Source organism: Homo sapiens, chromosome X (assembly GCF_000001405.40).
Source record: "Homo sapiens chromosome X, GRCh38.p14 Primary Assembly".
NCBI lineage: Eukaryota > Metazoa > Chordata > Mammalia > Primates > Hominidae > Homo > Homo sapiens.
In genome coordinates this window covers 85,879,436-85,901,678 of record NC_000023.11, presented here as the reverse complement: position 1 = coordinate 85,901,678, position 22,243 = coordinate 85,879,436, and the positions used below count along the sequence as shown (strand labels likewise).

At 35.5% G+C, this 22,243-nt stretch overlaps 1 protein-coding gene across 8 annotated transcripts in view; it reads left to right on the top strand.

Annotated features, from left to right (window-relative positions):
• The window catches only part of CHM (CHM Rab escort protein), a 186,379-nt gene that overhangs the window by 145,880 nt on the left and 18,256 nt on the right, over window positions 1-22,243 (top strand). For all 8 annotated transcript variants that reach the window (NM_000390.4, XM_047441793.1, NM_001362519.1 and 5 more), the window contains 3 exons: window positions 491-595; window positions 970-1,033; window positions 7,395-7,491. In NM_000390.4, the coding sequence (NP_000381.1) occupies window positions 491-595; window positions 970-1,033; window positions 7,395-7,491 (266 nt within the window). The remainder of the gene's footprint in view (window positions 1-490; window positions 596-969; window positions 1,034-7,394; window positions 7,492-22,243) is intronic.

Below are 22,243 nucleotides of genomic sequence, written 5' to 3'. Positions count from 1 at the left end.
TCTTGGACAAAAGAGAAACCAACATTTAACAGAAAAATAAAAACCTCGTAAAAGGCCTTTACAGGCTCTGAATGGTATAGCAAGGTATTTAATCAATTTTTCTCTCTTTCTTTTCTTAGAGCTGTGAAGGGGGGAAAAAAAAGCCTGTTTTCTAAACAAAGGGAATGCTTTTATGTTCCTAAATATTAGGAAATTTATGGTTTACTATAATTCTTATCCTGACTTTATTCTTATTAATGGCATTCAAAATACATGTTTAAGTTGTATTCCATGTTCATTTTGTACTTTAAAAGCCCTCAAAATAGCAACAAGAATATATATTCTGTCATTTACTGTCAGTTTTGTGTCAGAAAACATGGAATTGTAGGCAAGTTTTAAATCTTGTCTTCACGTGAAATTCATTTTAGATTCAAAATTGGTAGCCGATTACATTTTCTCAATTATTTAATCATTAATATGAACTTTTATGGTATGCTTATCTTCTTTATAGATGTAAAGCAATTATAGATCAGTTTGGTCAGAGAATAATCTCTGAGCATTTCCTCGTGGAGGACAGTTACTTTCCTGAGAACATGTGCTCACGTGTGCAATACAGGTAAGGCCCCCTCCACCCATTAGCAAGCGAAGGTAATTTTATTGACATTCCTGTGTAATTCTGTTCTTCAAGTAACATGCAAATAAATGCCAAACCAAAGATATATTCAATATCTTACTTCACTTACAGGGTCTGGTTTTAGGGAAGCCTAGCATAATTTCAACTCCTTTGCTTCAGCTGGGGTTTGTCTGTAGGTCAGGCATTCTTCTTTCATGAGCCAAGGAAAGATTAAAGCCGAACTTGACTTGGTTTTGGGAGGTGACACTTTTATCCTGACTTAAATCTTTGAAACGTGCCTTCTGGTGGTTATATAACTATAAACGAAACTTATCCATGGAATCAGAATTACTGCTTCACTGTTTTGTGCATTACAGGCAGATCTCCAGGGCAGTGCTGATTACAGATAGATCTGTCCTAAAAACAGATTCAGATCAACAGGTAAATTCAGTCCTATATATTTTTAATAAAAGTTGTATATATGAAGATGTTTCGGTATATATATACATGGTGAACTAATCACTACACTCAAGCTAATTAACATATGTCTTTACATAGTTACCTTTTTTTGTGGTGAGAACACTTAAGATCTACTTTCAGCAAATTTTAAATATATAATACCATATTATTAACTGTAGTCTTGTACTGTACATTAGATCTCTAAAACTTATTCTTTTTGTGTAACTGAAAGTTTGTACCCTTTGACCAACGTCTCCCCATTTTGCCTAGCTCCTGGCAAGCACCGTTTTACTCTCTGCTTCTATGAATTTGAAGCTTTTTGTATTTCACATATAAGTGCAATCATGCAGTACTTTCCTTTTTGTGTCTGGCTTCTTTCACTTAGCATAATGTCCTCCAGGTTCATCTATGTTGTTGCAAATGGTAGGACTTTCTTCTTTTTTAAAGATTGAATAATATTCCATTGTTTATACATACACACACCCCATTTTTAAAAAACCCATTCTTCCATTGATGAACACTTAGGTTGTTTCCAAATCTTCGCTGCAATGAATAATGCTGCATTGAACATGGGAGTGGTGGATCATAGGATAATTCTATTTTTAATTTTTTTGTGGAACCTCCATACTGTTTTCCGTAATGTTTGTATAGATTTGATTTGCATTCCAACCAACAGTGTAAAGGGTCTGCTTTTTTCTGTATCCTCATCAACACTTGTTATGTCTTGTCTTGTTAATAATAGCCATCCTAACAGGTGTGAGATGAAACCTCATTCAGTCCTGTGCTAATAACATTGTTACTAACTTAATCTACATGGTAATATGTATAAATCAATACTGGCAAAATACAGCGTATTAAGCTATATGTACTAAAGTTTGAGTATCCCTTCTCCAAAATGCTTGGGGTCATAAGTGCTTGGATTTTAGGGGTTTTTTTGGGGCGGGGGGTGGGTTTAGAGCATTTTGGATTTCGGATTTTTGGATTAGGGTACTCAGCTTGTCATATTTTTTAAATGTGTTTTTAAAAAAATACATGATGGCAATAATGTAATGGCATTGGTTTCTTAAGGATTTCCATCCAGTGGAACAAATAGTTGCATCTTATATAACAGATTTATTTTAGGAAAATCAGACTAAATACTAGATTTTGATGATTATTTCTGTGAAATTGAAAATACATTGTTATGGGGAGAAAAAGAGAATCCCCAGAGAATACATTTAAAAATCTGGTAGGAAAAGACAGTAGCCAACCCTATGGCAATGACTATAAGTCCACTGTTAGGCCTGGTTTGAATGTATTTCCACACATGTCCCCGGTTATGGTATTTACTTACCACCATTGTTCATTTCAGTACCCTCTTCTTTCTCCTTACCCCCAGTTCCATAGAGGAATGTCATTATGCCTCTGATTTTTCCTCAGTCAGACCTCTTAAATTCCAGGGTACCAGTTCTCCTTCTGACCATATTTTATAGTGATTGATAAACTCACCTTACTCAGTAGGCGTGACTTTCAGTTCTGTATGCCACTGCTAAAAGTAGGCTCCTAAAGTTCTTTAAGTTGAAAGCTGCTTCTTATGTAAAAGAAATATGTGAGTGGATAAAGTCAATTCATTTGTAACAATTTTTATTGCTAATAAATGAACGTTATATACAAAAAAGTCCCCCAAATATACTTGTTATATGTGTAAGCATAAATACTTTCATTAAGCCATTCAGCAAACAATGAGTGCCTTTTACCTTCCAGCCAGTGTTGCTGGGTTCTAAGGAGATAGTGGTCACTATGATAGCATCTCTGCTCTCAAATAGCTTACGGTCTGGAGAATACAGATACTGATAAGTAGCAACTGTAGTTCAGAGTGACAAGTATGAGCATGGGCGGGTAGAAGAAATAGTACAGCAGCTATTATATTACTTACTCCACTGTCCTACAATTACTGGTTTATTGTCTGTATCTCCCAGTAAGCTATGAGGTTTGTGAGTGGATCAAAGAGTGCCAGGGAGGCAGAAGAGTGAAGAGAGCAAATAGAGATAACTCTTGGAGGAAGCTAAGCTGTGAAGAGTAAGAGAGAGGAACTGGTCTTTGAAGAGGGATGTGGAGATGAAGAGGGTGTTTCTTTACTTTAAAAGATTAGTATATATTTCAGCTGATGGGATGAAGCCAGTAGAGAGGGAGAGGTTGAAGATAACGAAGTAAGAAGGAGGATAATTGATAGATCAAGGTCCAGGCAAAGGCTGGGGAGGCTAAAATTCAGAGAACAGGCAAAAATGTTGCCCTTGGATGGGATGGGAGACACGTTGAAACCAGAGGGTGAATGCATTTGTAGATTTGGGAATTCACATCTTATGGGTTACATTTATTCTTTAAATTATAAACAAGGTGAGGTCATCTTTTGAGAATGGGGGTGTGCAAATGTGGATGGGTAGAAGCTCAAGGAAAGATGTAAAATAATCACCATAAGGAGTTGGAGAGTGTACTGTCTCATGGTCAAATTGCTGGGCAATATTAATGGCCCAGTTGAGTCTGAAGGTCATGAATCTATAGTGGCATTAATCTGCTCCTATCCTTCCAGCTCTTTCATTCTCTTACCCCCACCCAGTCTGTTAAGAGACGTACAATTCCTCATTCCCTGTTTCTTTTCAGTTTATCATCTGCCTTCTGCCCTTTTCCTTTTCCCTGTGCTAGACCCCATAGTAAATCTTCTGAATTGCTCTTTGTCTGACACTCTCAGTACCCATGTTGTCATGTCCTTTCACTACACCCACAGAGGAAGATCCCATTCCTGAGTCAGGCTGTAATCTTCATCTGGATCACTGATGGCTGCTTAAGAAAACCATGCAACCAGACAGACTAACCATGCCACAGACACAAGGGTGCCAGCGTTATTCAGCTGGACCTTCAGCACACACCACCAGTCAGTTCTTCCACTGGCCTCAGACAGCCCCTTTCCCTTTTCCCTCAGTGCCTAATCCAAGTCTTCCTGATTTTACCCACCCTGCTTATCCCCTGCTCCTCTCAACCTGCTGCCCCTCCCCCACCAACCTTGCTTCGCTGAAAATAGTGAGGCTGTCCACCACGCGCAGTAGTCCTTGACTTCCTGCCCCACCACCACGTGTGTACTTCAGCCCAGGAATGAATCAGGAGGCTCCCCTCCTTGTTCAAAGCCAGCCCTTTTGACAAGTGCTCTTGTACACGCACACACACCACCCTTTATTGCCTGCTCTCTCTCCTGTATCTTCAGCCTCTCCCCACTGCTGCTGGCAACATTTTTTTTAAACAGACACAGACACACACACACACACACACACACACACACACACACACGCACACACAAGCATTTTCTATTTCATATATGCTAGTATATATATATATACTACTTTCTATTTCATATATGCTAGTATATACTTTCATATATGCTGGTATATATATACTTTATAATATATAGTATATATATAATATATATATTAGATATATATGCTATATATTATATATACTTATTTATATATTATATATACTTCATATATGCTGTTATATATATTATATATTATGTAATTAATATATAATATATTATGTAATGTATTATATATTATGTTATTATATAATTAATATATTATATATTATATGTATTATATAATTAATATATAGTATATATTATATGTATTATATATTAATTTCATGTATTATATATTATGTATTACGTATTACATATTATGTATTATATATAGTATGTATTATATACTATATATAATATGTAATACATATTATATACTATATATAATACGTATTATATAATATATTATATAATTATATATTATATAAGTTTGTACTCTTGGCTTCCATGAAACTGCCCTTTGGTTCCCCTCATGACTCTGGCTGTTTCCTCTCTACTTCTTTAGTGGGCTCTTGTTCCTTTACCCAGTCCTTAAATATCAGGGCTCCTCAGTATTTTTCCCTCAGCCCACAGTATGCCTTGCTTTGGGCATACTCACTAGATGACTCTGTGTAGTCTCATGATATCAATTCTGCATAAATCTTGGTGACAGACACTTCTGTATCTCCCAGGAGTGTCTGGCCCACATGCTAAGCTTCCTGCTGGACATCTGTCAAATGGAATACACTCAGAACTGAACTCACCATCTTCCCTCCACAAACTGCTCCTCATCCAGTGTTCCCTACTTCTGGGAACAGTTCTGACATCCTTTCAATGGCAACTTCTTCCTTCCCTCTCTGACATCTCTTCAACTTCACGTCCTTCAATGTACTTCCTAAAAGTTGCTTTGATCTGCCTTTTCTCACTGTTCAGTTAGGTTCTCATCACCTCTGACTTGTAATTGGTCACCCTGCCTCTCATCTTGTCTACTTCAAATCTGCCTTCTACATATCCTTCAGAGTGATCAGTCTAAAGTGTGTGTCCTGATTGTCTTTCTTTGTTCCCTGTAGAGAGTTTTCTTCTTTCATCTTCTCTCTTTTTTTTTTTCTTTTTTTTTTTTTGAGTTGTGCAGTATAGATAGAATGATGAGACTTAGAGGGAAGAATAGGTGTGGGTCCAGGTAAATTTTATGGAAGTGATAGTAGAGGGTTGAGGGAATTCTTTTTTGATGGTTTTTTATCATCTCTATGAGGTTTGAGACAGTTAACTTCTCAGAGTTCAGGTGACGGAGGTACTGTAGTAGGAGGTTACTAATTGCATCTCAGTTAAAAAAAAAAAGGTGATAGTCGTAGAAATCAAAAGACGTCCTTACATGTTATTGCAGTCATTAAGGTACTTTTCCAATTATGGTCATGTTTTTAGTTGTACTCATTTAACTATTGTTCAACATTCAATGTCTTAGTGGCTTCTATCTCTTTAATGCCAAAGTACATTTTCTATCATGAACAAAGGGAGTTAAGAGGAACATGGAGAAATAAATTTTTGAGACATTTTGAGGCTAGAAATGCACATAAAAGTAGGATAGTCATGGTTATCAAAATAATTTCTATGTAAAATTTGTTTTAGGTGTTTCCTCTTTGGGCCATCACTGTGACATTCTCAGTCAAAATGTAGCATAGCACTTATAGGGCAAAGTGCAAATGGGCTTTTCCCTTTTGACAAGTATTTTCTATGTGAGAGGATAAAATTTCCTCAGATGAATATTAGTTTGAGGATTAGTATTGAAACTTTAGGATCTACAAAGAAACATTGACCTGGGTCGGGCGCAGTGGCTCACGCCTATAATCTCAATACTTTGGGAAGCCAAGGTGGCTGGATTGCTTGAGGTCATGAGTTGGAGATCAGCCTGGCCAACATGGTGAAGCCCCATTTCTACAAAAAATACAAAAAAAAAAAAAATAGCCAGGTGTAGTAATGCATGCCTGTAATCCTAGCTACTTGGGAGGCTGAGGCATGAGAATCACTTGAACCCAGGAGGCGGGGGTTGCAGTGAGCTGAGATTGTACCACTGTACACCAGCCTGGGCAACAGAGTGAGACTCCATCTCAAAAAAAAAAAAAAAAACAAAAAAAAACATTGACCTGAAGGTCATTTAAAGTTTTAAAATATAAAGCCATCTAGCGTATCATTAATGCCTAGGATAGCATACTACATATAAATAAATAGTACTTAAGAATAATTTTACATTTTACTTTTGATTCTGAATTTCTAGTTTTATTAATGGAGTCTTTAAAAATTGTTTTCAAATGTTTTGATATATATATAGTTTGACTGCTTGCTTCAATATAATTGGAATGGGTAACATCTTTAATTATTAATGCTAACTGCTGTTTTTAGCCATTATGAGTAATCAAGATTGATTTAATATGGTCTGATTTCAAACAGCAAAATACACATATTTCAGAACTAAGAAGTCATAATTGTATCCTTTGAAAAATACAGATTGAGTATCCCTTATCTGAAATGCTTGAAACCAGAGGTGTTTGGGATTTCAGATTTTTTCAGATTTTGGAGTGTACTAGTTGAATGTCCCTAATCTGAATATCTAAAATCTAACATGCTCCAATGAGCATTTCCTTAGAGCATCATGTCGGTGCTAAATTTTGGATTTTGGAGTATTTTGGAATTTAGATAATGGTTACTCAACCTGTAGTAAGTTTATAGTAAGAAACCTATAGTAAGTAAGGATTTAATAAATATTAAAGATATTTAAAAGTTATTATCTATGAGAATTATGAAAATGATACATAAATATGTTTCAAATTCTGTTCCAAAATTAAATCCTTACAAGCCATATTTTTTTCAGACATGATGTTTGAAAAAGATACTCAGTTTAGAAGTTAACAGCATTTTAATGTTAGAAGAATGAAAATGAGATCTAACAGCTGTGTCTGATACTTTATTTTTGCTTTTTAGATTTCCATTTTGACAGTGCCAGCAGAGGAACCAGGAACTTTTGCTGTTCGGGTCATTGAGTTATGTTCTTCAACGATGACATGCATGAAAGGCACCTGTAAGCATAGTAGAGTGGTTATTTGTATTTTGTGTTTGTTTAGGGGGTAAAGGGGGCAGTTATTACAGTTGTGAAGGTTGTATTTGTAGAGATTTTCTTACTTTTTTATTATTCACAGTTTTTGTTTATATAAAAGATGGTTATAGAGTAAGTCATTTCACACCATCCCCTTACCTATAAACATTTCAGTGGCTAAATCTTCACAAGCATGATGTTTTAGTTCTCCAGTTAAGGAATTTTATGACTTTCAATTCTAATTTTTATTTAGCTTATTGAAAACCTGGTTGCATAACATTTTTTTTATTGTTAATTTTTTTTCTTTACTTTCTTAGTCCATTTGGGCTGCTATGAAAAAATACCTTAGACTGGGTAACTTATAATAAACAATAGAAATTTATTGCTCACAATTCTAGAGGCTGGAAAGTCCAAAATCAAGGTGCCAGCAGATTCAGTGTCTGATGAGGACCCTTTCCTCATAAGTGGCACCTTCTGTGTGTCCTCATACAGGCAAGGGGATAAAAAAGCTTCCTTGAACCCTTTTTTAAGAGCACTAATCCCATTTATGAGGGCAGAGCTCTTGTTATCTAACCATCTTCCAAAGCCCCTACCTCTTAATAACTTTTGCATTGTGGGTCTACTTGAGGTATTAAGAGGTAATACTTTTGTATTGCATATGTCAACAAATGAATTGTGGGGAGACACAAACATTGAAACCATAGCACCTTGAATTCTAAATTCTAAATCCAATTACTGAACTTTTTTCATGTATAAATTTTCAATGTATTTTGTTTATTTATGAGACTAAAGTTAAGGACTACTTTACCTGCTCTTTCACTTATTTGTTTCAAATTTTTTGTTTCCAGCATTAGATATCATGCATTCTACAACATATTTCTTGAGGCTATTTCAGTAAATAGGAGTCAATAAGTATACATTATACATCACTGTGTCTAGACCTAAGCTATGTACTATAAGTATTAGAAGCAGAAGGTGAGATACCTGATTTGAAATGCTCATAATCTTACTGCTCACCTAATGGAACAAGACTATTTATTAACCAAGTACAACATATTGTGCTAGGCATTTCATGGTACGTAAAGATGAATAAGATATTCCCTTACCATAGGAGATTCACAGTCTAGTTGAACAGATAAAACAAGCACAGAAGTAGCTGGAAGATGCAAAATATGAGAGGTACCAACAAACAGTGTACTCTAGGGATTCATAGGAGGGAGACATAATATCATTAACTAGAAAAAAATTTTTTGTAAAAAAATATTTGAGTAAACGTAAGTGTTACTCAGATTGTTATGTGAGTTCTGAGAAGCAAAAAAACTAATATGGTTTTGCGTAGTCACAAGGAAAACTTCAGTGGGGAAATGTAGAGCTACTACTTAAAAATGGGAACATGTGGTCAGGCAGAAAAGTGGGAAGTCTGATGCCAGCAGAGAGGGTTAAGAAAACTTTTCAACATTGCTATAATCCTAAATTTCCTTTGGAAAAGTAGCTCAGAGGACCATTTCTCCTTTTATAGTGTATTAGTCCCTTTTCATGCTGTTAGTAAAAACCTACCCGAAATTGAGAAGGAAAAGAGGTTTAATTGGAATCACAGTTCCACATGGCTAGGGAGGTCTCAGAATCATGGCAGGAGGCAAAAGGCACTTCTTAACATGGCGGTGGCAAGAAAAAAATGAGGAAGAAGCAAAAGCGGAAACCCCTGATAAACCCATCAGATCTTGTAAGACTTACACACTATCATGAGAATAGCACAAGAAAGACCGGCCCCCATGATTCAGTTACCTCCCCCTGGGTCCCTCCCACAACACATGGGAATTCTGGGAGATACAATTCAAGTTGAGATTTCAGTGGGGACACAGCCAAACCATATCATTCTGCCCCTGGCCCCTCCAAATCTCATGTCCTCACATTTCAAAAGCAATCATGCCTTCCCAACAGTCCCCCAAAGTCTTATTTCAGCATTAACCCAAAAGTCCACAGTCCAAAGTCTCATCTGACACAAGGCAAGTCCCATCTGTCTATGAGCCTGTAAAATCAAAAGCAAGTTAGTTAACTTCCTAGATACAATGGGGGTCCAGGTATTGGATAAATACAGCCATTCCAAATAGGAGAAATTGGCCAAAACAAAGGGTTTACAGGCCCCATGCAAGTCCAAATTCCAGCGGGGCAGTCAAATTTTAAAGCTCCAAAATGATCTCCTTTGACTCCAGGTCTCACATCCAGGTCACACTGATACAAGAGGTGGGTTCCCATGGTCTTGGGCAGCTCCACTCTTGTGGCTTTGCAGGGTATATCCTGCCTCCCGGCTGCTTTCACAGGCTGGTGTTGAGTGTCTGCAGCTTTTCCTGGCGCAACCTGTTGGTGGATCTGTCATCATTCTGGGGTCTGGAGGACGGTGGCCCTCTTCTCACAGCTCCACTAGGCAGTGCCAGAATAGGGGCTCTGTATGGGGCCTCCAACCCCACATTTCCCTTCCACAGTGCCCTAGCAGAGGTTCTCCATGGGGGCCCCACCCCTGCAGCAGTCTTTTGCCTGGGCATCCAGGCATTTCCATACTTCTTCTGAAATCTAGGTAGAGGTTCCCAAACCCCAATTCTTAACTTCTATGCACTCACAGGGTCAACACCACATGGAAGCTGCCAAGGCTTGGGGCTTGCACCTCTGAAGCCACAGCCTGAGCTCTATGTTGGGCCCTTTCAGCCACTGCTGGAGTGGCTGGGACACAGGGCACCAAGTCCCTAGGCTGCACACAATATGGGGGGACTGGCCCATGAAACCACTTTTTCCTCCTGGGCCTCTAGGCCTATGGTGAGAGAGGCTGCAGTGAAGGTCTCTGACGTGGCCTGGAGACATTTTCCTCATGGGCTTGGGGATTAACATTAGGTTCCTTGCTACTTATGCAAATTTCTGCAACAGGCTTGAATTTCTCCTCAAAAAATGTGTTTTCTACTGCATCGTCAAGCTGCAAATTTTCTGAACTTTTATGCTCTGTTTCCCTTTTAAAATGGAATGCTTTTAACAGCACCCAAGTCACCTTTTGAATGCTTTGCTGTTTAGAAATTTCTTCCACCAGATACCTTAAATAATCTCTCTCAAGTTCAAAGTTCCACAAATCTCTAGGGCAGGGCCAAAGTGCTGCCAGTCTCTTTGCTAAAACATAACAAGAGTCACCTTTACTCGAGTTCCCAACAAGTTCCTCAGCTCCATCTGAGACCACCTCAGCCTGGACCTTACTGTTCATATCACTATCAGCATTTTTGTCAATGCCATTCAACAGGTCTCCAGGAGGTTCCAAACTTTCCCACATTTTCCTGTCTTCTTCTGAGCCCTCCAAATTGTTCCAACCCTCTGCCTGTTAACCAATTCCAAAGTCGCTTTCACATTTTCGGGTATCTTTTCAACAATGCCTCACTCTACGGGGACTGATTTACTGTATTCGTCTGTTTTCATGCTGCTGATAAAGACATACCCGAAACTGGAAAGAAAAAGAGATTTAATTGGACTTACAGTTCCATAGGCTGAGGATGCTTCAGAATCATGGCAGGAGGCAAAAGGCACTTCTTACGTGGCAGCAGAAGGAGAAAAATCAGGAAGAAGCAAAAGCAGAAACCCCTAATAAACCCATCAGATCTCTTGAGACTTATTCACTATCACGAGAATAGCGTGGGAAAGACCAGCCCCTGTGATTCAATTACCTCCCACTGGGTCCTTCCCACAACACATGGGAATTCTGGGAGATACAATTCAAGTTGAGATTTGGCTGTGGACACAGCCAAACCATATCATATAGTGATTTGTGCTACAGGAAAATCTTCACCATGACAGTTGTTGTTATTTTCTATTATTACTTTAACTATTTTTCATGTCTTTTTATCTGTGTTAGCTTCTTAGATATAAAATAAAACTGCACCTATTATGGTTTTTGTAATTTGTATTTTATGTTTGTGAATATTATTTTTCAAATTTCCATTTTTAGTTTAGATTCACGGAGTATATGCACAGGTTCATTACAAGGGTATATCGCATGATGCTGAGGTTTGGTCTTCTATTTATCCTGTCACTCAGATAGTGAACATAGTACCCCATAGGAAGTTTTTCAGCCATTTCCTCCCTTCCTCCCTCCTTTTAGAGTCTCCAGTGTCTATTGTTCCCATCTGTATCTCCTTGTGTATGCCAGATTTAGCTCCTACTTGTGAGTTCATGTAATATTTGGATTTCTATTTCTGTGTTAATTCACTTAGGATAATGGCCTCCAGCTGCATCCATGTTGCTGCAAATGACATGATTTTCTTTGATTTTATGGCTGCATAGTATCCCATGCTGTATATGTACCACATTTTTTTAATCCAGTCCACCGTTGATTGGCACCTAGGTTCCATGTCTTTGCTATCATGAGTAGTGCTGTGATGAACATGGGAGTGCATTTTTTTTTCTTTGTACAATGATTTCTTTTCTTTTGGATATATACCCAGTAATGGGATTGCTTGGTTGAATGGTAGCTCTGTTCTAAGTTTTTAGAGAAATCTCCAAACTGCTTTCCACAGTGGCTGAACTAATTCACATTCCTGCCAACAGTGTATAAGCATTCCCTTTTCTCTGCAGCCTGGACAGCATCTGTTATTTTTTGCATTTTTAATAATAGCCGTTCTGACTGGGGTGAGATGGTGTCTCTTTGTGGTTTGATTTGCATTTCTCTGATTAGTGATGTTCAGCATTTTTTCATATGTTTGTTGGCTACTTATGTATCTTCTTTTGAGAAGCATCTGTTCAAATCTTTGCCTGCTTTTTAATGGGATGGTTTTATTCTTGTTGGTTTAAGTTTTTTATAGATTTTGGATATTAGTTGTTTTTTGGATGCATAGTTTGTGAATATTCTCTCCCATTCTATAGTTTGTTTGTTCACTCTGTTGATAATTTCTTTTGCTGGGTACATGCTCTTTAGTTTAATGAAGTCCCATTTGTCAATTTTTGTTTTTGTTGCAATTGCTTTTGAGGACTTGGTCATAAATTGTAAATAGTCTTCATAAATTGTTTTGTAAATTATTTTTCCATTTGTCATATTTTAATATCCCCAGTCTAATAATTCATGTTCACTGTTGATAATTTGGAAGATATGAAAAAGAAAAGTTACTATAATCCCTCTACCAAATAATGATAAATACCCTTGGTGTATGATTCTTTGTCCTTTTTTCTTTGTATGGGCATGCACATACATTTTCATAAAATGCAATATTGTTTTATATACTGTTTTATAATATGTTTTTAAATAAATGTAGTACAAAAATGGTTTTGCATGTCTGTGATAGCATTTTCAGTGATTTTGGTTATGCCATTTAAACTGAAGTGAGACCTCAATTTTTTCAGTGATGCTTGGTAGAAGTAGAGCAATTATTGTCTCAAAGTTTTCTATCTTGCTAAGATATGGTCTTTTGCTAGAGCGTGTAGGTTTTTGTTGGGGTTTTTAAAATCTGAGACCATTGGTGTTTCCAGTTGTCAGTTTCTATGGCTCTTACTTGGAGATATATGATACAAAAAGAAAACCCAGGGGACTCTGCCATTTTGCTCTTTGGTCCCAAGTTCTCTAGCCAGTCTGCTTTCTTCGTTCCAGCTTTCAGAGTCTTGCTATGTTGGTTTTATATATTATGTCTAAGATTTTTAGCTGTACTCAGGAAAAACCGGGATAACCTCTTTTATTCTTTCTGGATGTGGAAGTCTCAAAGTGCCCCCAAAGTTATATCGACTTACACATCCAATGGCAGTTTATAAACAAGCATGTCTGTTTTCTTCAAAGCCTCAAGAGCACTGAATATTATCTTATCAAAACTCTTTTGCCAATTTGAAAATTGAAATATTGTGTTTAAACTTGCATTTAATAACTCATAACGTTATGAGTTATGAGCTGTACCTTGGCCCCTTTTAGCCATGGCTAGAGCAGCTGGGATGCAGGGCACCACATCCTTAGGCTTCACACAGCAGGGGGCCCTGGCCTGGCCCATGAAGCCATTTTTTCCTCTTAGGCCTCCAGGCATGTGATGGGAGGGGCTGCTGCAAAGGTCTCTTGACATGGCCTAGAGACATTTTCACCATTGTCTTGGTGATTAACATTTGGCTCCTCATTACATGTACAAATTTCTACAACCAGCTTGAATTTCTCCTCAGGAAATAGGTTTTTCTTTTCAATCTCATTGTCAGGCTGCAAATTTTCCAAACTTTTATGCACTGTTTCCCTTTCAAAACCGGATGCCTTTAACAGCACCCAAGTCACCTCTTGAATGCTTTGCTGCTTAGAAATTTCTTCCACCAGATACCGTAAATCATCTCCCTTAAGTTCAGAGTTCCACGGATCTGTAGGGCAGGGGCAAAATGCTGCCAGTCTCTTTGCTAAAACATAACAAGAGTCACCTTTACTCCAGTTCCCAACAAGTTCCTCATCTCCGTCTGAGACCACCTCAGCCTGGATTTCATTGTCCATATCATTATCAACATTTTGGTCAAAGCCATTAAACAACTATCTATGGAGTTCCAAACTTTCCCACATTTTCCTGTCTTCTTCTGAACCCACCAAACTGTTCCAACCCCTCCCTGTTACCCAGTTCCAAAGTCGCTTCCACGTTTTCAGGTATATTTTCAGCAGCGCCCCACTCTAATGGTACCAATTTACTGTATTAGTTCATTTTCATGCTGCTGATAAAGACATACCAGAAACCGGGCAATTTACCAAAGAAAGAGGTTTATAATGGACTTACAGTTCCACGTGGCTGGGGAAGCCTCACAGTCATGGTGGGAATCAAGGAGCAAGTCATGTGTTACATGGATGGCAGCAGGCAAAGAGAGAGAGCTTGTGCAGGGAAACTCCCTCTTGTAAAACCATCAGATCTCATGAGACTTATTCACTGTCACAAGAACAGCATGGGAAAGACCTGTCACCATTATTCAGTTACCTCCCGCTGGGTCCATCCCACAACATGTGAGAATTCAAGATGAGATTTGAGTGGGGACACAGCCAAACCATATCACCATAGTTTAATCAGTTTATCAGTACAAAACTAGACAAATGGACTGGGTTTGGGTTTTTTAGTCTTAATAGTAAGGCTTACACCAGGAAGGTTGACTGAGAAAGTTAAGTTTCAATTTATTATTTATACTATGCCTTGTTCTCAATAAAAAGAGAAGTTAATGTTCATTTAAAAATCTAGTATGCATTCTTTTTAAAATAACATTCATTACTGTAGTAGTGCTATAATAGAGTTAATGTGTAATATATAACAAGACTTAAGAAATACACTGAGATAAAACTGATATTTTTATCATTCACTTGTTCTTATTAAAGCTTAAATTCTTTTTTTCTCCTCCTTTTTCAATGCTTTTGGCCTGTTCATAGACATTCAGGAGCAATTTGTAACTTGGACATTAAAAGACTTTAATGATATATTTTCTTGCTGCTGCCCTAATTGAGAGTCACTGACGTCACAAATAGTTGCAAGTTGTTCTGTTCTCAGTCTGTCTTCTGAAACAACTAGCCTTATAATCTCATAGAAGGCTTTAAACCACCTTTTTCTTTTCTATTGATTTCTTTCTGTTTCAAGTCAGAAAAAAGAAAAAGAAGCAAATATACCCTGTGTTTATTTTATGTATCCAAACCTGTTCGTAACTCATTTATTTTTCTCTTTTTAAGCTCCCCAATTATGGGCAAATTATATAGTTTAGAATGTTACACAGTCATTCTCTTTCCTAACTACTTTTACTTCCAAATCTCTTTTAAGGGTTTTGACTTTCCTATACCTTTTGAATAAAGCATATCCTGAGCACAATAGAACATGTTTTAAAATTCACATAATTGTTTCTTTACAGAATAATGTAGAAACATAATTTCATTATTTTCCTGGTCAAGCACCAAAAACTGAAAATGCTAAATATGCTTATTATGCCATAACATCCCACTTTTGGGGGGAAGGATGTGTGGAATTTGACATTACTCATAATTGGAAAGAAATGTATATTCAGAACAATTTGTTTCAAATAGAATTCTTGGTGGAAGGCTTTTTACCATTCTATCTGAATGTTGTTATTTATATATGTCTACATTAGCTATGTGGTGGAATTCTCATATTTGTAGTAATTATGATGTTGAAATGTTTGTGATCATCCATTTGATCATGGTTTTGTAGAAATCAAACAATAAAATCGTGTTTAAGAAGAATAAATTTTAAATGTAAATTTTATATTTTTAAAAAATCATTAACTCTAAATGGATTTTGTTGTGACTTATTTTCCCTTCAAACAACTACTTAAAATAAGTGGACAAACACATCTATACATTTAAACTTTGGTTCCATTGTATAAGTGACAGACATGTAATCAGTATTGCTAAATGAGTGGAACCAAGTGCCTTCCCTTGCCCTAAAACTTGATGCTGTAATAATGAAATCATGAAATAAACTTATTGTTCTTCCTGTTGGAAGAATCATTTGACAAATATTGGCAAGTACTGTAACTGATTTAGTTATACTTGAATAAATCAAATATAATCAAAATATAGACCAATGAGACTTTGTGACTTGTACGCATACCTCAAAGTTTATAAAATGAATTTTATAGAAAGTAAATGATGTAAACTTTGGTGATTTAATTAGAGTTCAATTGTTTAACAAAGAATGTGTTTTAAAGATATATTATTCATGAGCAAATTAACTTGGACATACTTATTACAAAATTATGGCTTTTAGAGAAATTATGGGAATTCTTCAGTAAAAATTTAAGCCTTTTTGTAGTTTTAAACACTGGATTTCATTTATGTCTAATCTAGTTTGTCCATTATTCATTAGCCATAACAATCTATATGTGAAGATGTATTTTTCTTTGAAAAATATTACTGATTTTAAAGGTATTTTCCCCACATAGATAAATCCAAGCAGATGAGGAAGTTTAAATTTGTCACGGGTACTCTACTCTTAACTAGTGAAGGTTTTATGTTGTTGTCTTTAAGTACATATTAAGTATTCACTTGTTAACTAATTCTGATACTCATTTTATCTTTACTTCTCTTCAGTATCTACTACTCAAATTCGTCCATTCTTAAATCAGCACAAGCTTTTACTTCCCATTGAGCATGGGGTAGAAATTTGTGAATTTTTAGTGTTGACTAATCAGGTTTGACTAATATTGTGGCACTTTATATTAAATATTATTTAATTACTGTGTCACAGTGGCGTATAATATATAAAACATTAAATCTTAATGTTTTAGATGTCATGTAATAAGATAAAATGTATAATTCTCAGTGTTTTCAACTTCTCAACCACTTTTTTCTTTATACAAATCACACTTTTTACACTTTTTATTTTTAATCCTGTGCTATGCAAATACTGTACTGTATGTAGTCTTAAGTGTGTGCTCAAGAATGTGCTTAAGACATAAAACTACCTCAGAGTTCACTTATACTTTTTATTCTCTTTAATGACTTTTCATAGATGTCACATTGCCTTAAATTTGGTTTGATTTAGAATTTGTAAAATCATACGTATGCCACTGAAGTTTACCTTCACATCATATGGGAATAGTATATATGAAAGGTTCTTGAAAGGCAAATAAATAGTTCAATAAACAAGGGAGGTACATTTCATTAACATACTACCTTATAGTGGTGGAGAACATAGGCTAAGTTCAAATCCCAGTTTTTACTAACTACTTGACTAACCTTAGGCAAGTTACTTAATTTCTATGTGCCTCAGCTTTCCTATCTGTGAAATAGGAATAATGATACTATCTGCCTCAGGACCGTTATTAGTATCAATGTTACTTAAGCTGATATTTTGATAGACTGATAGGAAATCATGATTATCCAGTAATGCAGGGGTTTTTCTAAGCAACTTTGGGTTAGCATCGTTATTGCATCTTTTTTTAAAGTAGTAAAGTTATGTTTTGTAAAATCTATAAGTCCACTTAAATTTTCCTCCCCTCAGCTAATTTGGTTCAAGTTACTGGGATTGTTAAATAACTGAAATGTATTTGTTTATTGTGTTTTTCAAAGCTAAACAAGCCATATTTTTTTTCACAGAGTTCATCTTTCAGGACATACCCAATATATTTATTTCTATTCATCTTATATCCTAAGTGAATTTAATATGAGATTTACTTTCTTTTAAAGTCATTTGTAAATGAACAAAACATTATCTTTGCAGCCCTTCCATTCGACATTCATTTTCATGTTCTTTGCAGTACTTACTCATACACTAGACATTTTGAATTTTTTTCGTACATACTAATCAGGCAATAACAGCTGTTTTATTCTGGGATTTGATGTTACAGGATGTTAGTTATCTGTGATATGATTATATATTTGTGAATATATAATGTGAAATATATATATGATGTATGTAATAATCCAGAATTTCATGTAGGTACTGGTTTATATACTTTTTCTGCTTTTGTGACCCTAGTTTTAAAATGCTATATACCTTTTATAAAAATGAGTTAGATATTGATTTAAAACAATTATCAGTGCCTTTTTCATTTGCTTTTTGAAAATGTGACATTTCAAATTATTATTGTTAGTATTATCACAAAACAAAGATTTGATTTTATTATATGTAAACTAATTTTTCTTCCTGATCTTAAGGTGATGTTCTGGAGTTCTTAAATTCTACTGAGAAAGTATAAGCCGACTATAGACTTTTTCATAGTTGAATTAAAAAATTAAATTGTGTGTCATATATCATCAAACTCAGTTCCTTACTTGCTACCATAGAGAAAGTGTGTCTCTGAGGTTCTCTGTTTTATTGATACAGTCATATCCTCATTTGTGCTATATTACATAAAGTACATGTGGCCTTTATAGTTATATGAAAGATATGTTACCAGCCACATTGATCTCTATGTAAATTAATTACATATTTCTAGTTAGGTTACACAACAAAGCCTACTTGCTGACTAGCCTATAAATAAAGATTCTTTAAATGCATTTGGAACAATTTTGCCTGCTTGTATAGAGTGAATGACTGCTGTATGTGGTAACCTCAGAAGCTTGAGGAATAGATTTCCTACCTTTTACAGCAAGCATTTACTTAGGTTTTACATTCACATTTGTAATGCCATCCGTTTTGATTTAAAATCTGTCATCATTGAAAGAATTGTAGCTGGTGAGTAAGGAATTAGCTTCGTAAATTTGAGACCGGAAGAGGTCTTAAAGATGGACTAATTGCACCCCTTCATTTTAATTATGAGGACACTGAAGCCAGAGAGAAAAACTGACTTGGCCAAGTAGATATAGAGAGCTGACGTAATACCAGACCCACGTAATCATCCTATAGTATGTCACTCTGCTACTGTACATTGGACTTGTTACTTTTAAATGTGCTCATTATTGTGCACATTCTGAGCAGAAATCCTACTTCTCATGTGTTTCAAAACAACTCGTAAGAGCGATCAGCATTCCAAAGGCAGTTTTGGAGAACTGAAAGTGTGTTGTTATTTCTAGTTTTGTGTTGTTACTTCTCACTTCTAAATTAAAACTTATTTTGCACTAAGATTTCTTTAATGCCAATACAAATCTAAGTGTATTGCCAAAAGAGGGATTGTGATAGAAAACACATTTTTTCATTAAGTCTTTGGCCATTTTTAGCTCATTAAGCCTTTAAGCAGTTGCTAAATGAAGTCAAAGGAGCATAGTTTATAAAAAGATATTAATTTTTTTTTTGTTCAGTTATCTCACATGGTGCCTGTGGGAAATGTTTCCACTTGTATTGCATCTTCCACAATCTTAGTGATAGTTGTCAATTGGTACTAATGAAACGTAATACTTTTAGGAAAGCATTTACCCTGTATGATCTAATTTGTGGTCGTTGTTGGCCTGTATTGAGCAAGTTCATTATTTGGAGAAGAATTAAAGTCACATAGATGCAAAGAAGTATTTTACATAATTGAATTTCAGTAGAAATGTGATAGCATGTTCTACATGTTTGGTTTTGAGTTTACCTTATACCCTTAAGGTCTTCAGACTTTTTGCTCATTTATCCCTTGAACCCTTTACAAGTTGACATACACAGTTTTTCATCAGAAGAGTCAAATAATTGCAAAGAATATAATTTCTAACATCGTAAATATTGACTTATAGTAAAATTATAACATCAGTCATTTAAATGTATTCAGTGGAATCTAAGTATCAGGGATATTTGATACCCATCACCCATTTAAAAAAATAAATGGAAATAGAATTTTTTTGAAACTTTCTAGGGCAATAAGCTTCTAATCTAAAACTTTCTTCTGGATTTAGTAATTAATGCAATTATTATTTCTACAGAATTAATCTAACTGTCATAAATATATTACAGTTTTGGTAAATAAATATTAAACAGAATAAGTAAAATTTCACTGAATGAAGTAGGAGAGGTGGAGCTGAGCATCTGTATGAGAACCCCCTTGTAGGTGATATAACTTGTGAAAAGTCCTCTTGTATCCTCACACACATCCCAGTTTGAATGCTGCTGACTTAAGTGACTGACTGTGCCTTCTGCAGGAGATTATTAGAATCACATAATATAATTTAGTGACTAAAGGCAGACACTCTGCAGGCAGGCCATATGGGCTTCAATTCGAGCTCTGAGTCCCAGCCCTTCCTTCTACTAATTGCATGACTTTAGGAAATCTGCATAGCCCCCCATCCCTGTTTTCTCATCTGTAAAATGAGAATAACAGTTTGCTGTTGCACAAGTAAAGTGAAATGATACTTGTAGCATGCTTAAAATAGTGTCTAACACATGCATGTTATTTGTACAGTCAACTCTAGATATTCTCTTAAATGTATTTTGAGAATTTTATAGATATATCTTAATGTGTTTATAAGCATTTCTCAGACAGATTTAAATAATTTGAGATTATCAATTGGTACTTCCCTTTCCTCTTTCCTGGTAAATCAGATAATTTCCCAAATTTTATACAAGAAACTAATCAGAATTTCCCCATGAATATGTACACATAGATCTATTGGTATGGGAATGCATATCTATTTAAACACAGGAATACTTGATGTTTGTCCGTGACAGTGAGACAAATTATAATTAACATTTATTGAATACCCACTCTAAGTAAAAGTTGTATTTAACAAAAAGGAGAAAAATCGACTCTAAAGCTTGCCCCTGCAAAGGACTTACAAGATATATTAAGATTAATAAACAAATGTTGAGAATCAATGAATTTTAAAAAGAGCACAATCAGCAATCTCTGATTTGAAGAGAACCAAAATGAATTCAGTAATCTATACTAGAAGGTGACCTAGGTAACAGGAAAAGCAGGAACGGTAAGGGGAAAAAGTAGTTATTCATACCTTAAATTTGTATTAATAGATCAATTAACAATGTAGCCTCTAAGCAAAGTCAATGTATAGGGATTATAATTCAGCTTATGAATGTCTTTGTAAGAATTGTTATAAAACTCATTAATCATGAGATGATAATCTTACTTCACTACTAGACATTTTTCCTAGCATAACCTGAACTGTCTGTTATGTTGCTAAGAAATATAATGATATACTAACTTAAGTGTATCTCTTTAAAATATATGTCCTGTTTAACAGAACCAATAGTTTACCCATTAAGATATTTTCCAAAATATACTTATTTATGTCCAGGTTCATCTGCTTTTTCCCAAATAAACATTAACAAACAAGCAAAAAACTGGAAAATTGAGAACTTTGGGCATTGGTATTTCACGAGATTTTGAAATAAGAGACAGGATAGATTATCTCCTATGGATTGCTGACCTTTGTAACTGCATACCCTGTTTACTTCAGTAATTATCTAGGAGGATTAAGTCTCATCCCAACTAATGCTATACAGCATTTGAAAAAAGTTAACCAAAATAATTTTTGTTATGAAGCTCATTATATCTTTGGAAATAATTAGTACCATACATCCTACAGTATCCCAGAACCAATGAGAATCATTGTTAAATTCATGTGAAAACAATGCTTAAATAAGGTAGACCTATTATTAGGCCATAAGTAATTCAGGAACCATCCGAAAATATACTTCCTTTAGTGGACCTGGGAGGGAAAAACCTACAACATTTGATTTTAGTTCCATGGTTATTAGAGTCCCTCAATTTATGCTTAGATATATTTTAAAGTAGTTGAATGTAGAATAAATTTTGATAATGAGAATCTTATTCTGATGTTGGCTTTCATGATAAAATTTGAACTATCTTCCTGGAGTTTAAAAAAAAAATTCTAGTAGTCTGAAATAAACTATTGGAAGAGAAGTGGGTGTATCTTTCTCCCCCTACTAATATAGTGGGGGGAGGAATTTCTCGGTACTGGTACTTACTGTTCTCTAATATATTCTTTCTGCCATTATTGTATCTCATCCCAAATAACAGGACCATAAGAACTTCTGTCATTTGGAGGTCCCTTTACTCCTTTATTGCAAAACACAGAACTCTTTATTCTTTCTTCACCTTTGTGCACAGGCCTTTAGGAGTTTTAACGGAGTTAGGCTACAATATTTTACTTCCATGAAGGGCCTTGTTTGTACGTGATTTTCTCTAACATAAACATTCTCCAAGATTCAGGCCCCATAACTCTGTAAATGCAAAAGGAAAATAATTTGAAATTCCTGAAAATATTATAGACTGTTTTAACCTATGCCGTTTTATGTGCTTTCAAGTATATGTGTGATTCTAAGTCAGCAGTGTTCTCCCAAAAGGTTTTTAGATAACCCTGTAATTAGTAGATAATTTGTTG